The sequence below is a fragment of the Homo sapiens genome, chromosome 8, assembly GCF_000001405.40.
Source record: "Homo sapiens chromosome 8, GRCh38.p14 Primary Assembly".
In the NCBI taxonomy this organism is placed as follows: Eukaryota; Metazoa; Chordata; class Mammalia; order Primates; family Hominidae; genus Homo; species Homo sapiens.
In genome coordinates, this window is record NC_000008.11 from 40,049,259 (window position 1) to 40,051,111 (window position 1,853).

At 39.2% G+C, this 1,853-nt stretch overlaps 1 annotated feature.

Moving 5' to 3' along the window:
• Positions 1,657–1,829: a silencer, noted in NCBI's record as "fragment chr8:39908434-39908606 (GRCh37/hg19 assembly coordinates)". NCBI's record gives its function as "represses an EF-1alpha promoter that drives an FKBP-Casp9 reporter gene in an ReSE screen in K562 erythroleukemia cells {active_cell/tissue: K562}" and the evidence as "EXISTENCE:reporter gene assay evidence [ECO:0000049][PMID:32094911]".

Sequence of the window (1,853 nt, forward strand, 5' to 3'; positions counted from 1 at the left end):
TTAACTATTTCTTCTACATATTTTGAGAACCATATCTGACAGTGTTAACATTTTTGTTACAAATGTCATACAGAATTTGGAAAACTCAAGAGTAGTTGGAAAGTCTCTTGTATTTACCTACATTTTGCTGCATACCTCAATATACATTTTTCATGGCTCTTTCTTTCTTCCTGGTTGATATAGTTTGCATATTTGTCCCCATCCAAATCTCATGTTGAATTATAATCCCCAATATTGGAGGTGGGGCATGGTGGGAGGTGATTAGATCATGGGGGAAGATCCCCCATGAGTGGCTTGGGCCATCCCCTTAGTGGTAAGTGAGCACTCACTCTGAGTTCACAGGAAATCTGGGCGTTTAAAAGTGTGCAGTGCCTCCCTCTCCCCACTCCCTTGCTCCAGCTTTTGCCATGAGTAAAAGCTCCCTGAGGCCTCCCCAAAAGCAGATCCTGGCCACTATGATTCCTGTGAAACCTGCAGAACCGTGAGCTAATTAAACATTTTTCTTATAAATTACCCAGTCTCAGGTATTTCTTAATAGCAATACAGGAATGGCCTAACACACTGATGTTCCAAGATCTAATTTTATCCTTTCTCTTTTGTTTAAGAAATCTTCATTAGCCATTCTTTTAGTGTCGGTCAGCTGCTGATAAATTTGCTTAGCTTTCCTTCATCTCAGAAAGTCTTAATTTCCTTTCCATTTCTGAAGAATGTTTGATGTTTCCTTTTTTTCAGCATTTGAAAAATGGTGTGCCACTTCCTTCTGGCCTTTGTAGATTCTATTAATAAATCTGCTGTCTTTATTTATTTTTTATTTATTTTTCTTTTTGAGACAAAGTCTTGCTCTGTTGCCCAGGCTGGAGTGCAGTGGCATGATCCCAGCTCACTGCAACCTCTGCCTCCCGTGTTCAAGAGATTCTTGTGCCTCAGCCTCCTGAGTAGGTGGGATTACAGGTGCCCACCACCATGCCCAGCTGATTTTTGTATTTTTTGTGGAGAAGGGGTTTCACCATGTTGGCCAGGCTGGTCTCAAACTCCTGGCCTCAAGTGATCTGCCTTCCTCGGCCTCGAAAAGTGCTGGGATTACAGGTGTGAGCCACCGCACCTGGCCATAAAGCTTCTATCCTTAAAACTTTCTCTCTTATGTGTCAATTCTTGCTGTGTACAATAATTTTCTCTGTCTTTAACTTTCAGGATTTTGATTATGATTTGCCTTGATGTGGACTTTTGTATCATGGTTGGGGTTGGCTCAGGTTATTGAATGTGTAAATATTTGTCTTTTCACAAATTTGGAACATTTTCAGCCATTATTTCTTTGAGTACCTTCTCAGCCTCAACCTCTTTCTCCTCTCTGTCCATAATGCTAATAATACAAATATTAAATCTTTTTAAAACATCTCACAGATATCCAAAGCTCTGTTTCTTTATTTTTTGTCTATTTCCTCTCTCTTTTATTTAAATTGGGGAATTTCTATTATCCTGTCTTCAATTTCACTTAGTCTTTTCTCTTTCCTGCTAATGAGGCTATCACTTGAGTTCTGTTATTTGGTTCTTTTAGTGTTCTTTTCTATTTTTCAAGTTTAAAATTTCTAATTGGTTCTTCTTTACATTTTCTATTTCTTTATTCACACTTTTTAATTTTATTTGTTTCAAGTGTGTTTATAATTTATGTTAAAGCATCTTTTTTTTTTTTTTTTTCACAGAGTCTCGCTCTGTTGCCCAGGCTGGAGAGCAGTGACACGATCTCTGCTCACTGCAAGCTCCACCTCCCGGGTTCATGCCATTCTCCTACCTCAGCCTCCTGAGTAGCTGGGACTACAGGTGCCTGCCACCATGCCGGGCTAATTTTTTATATT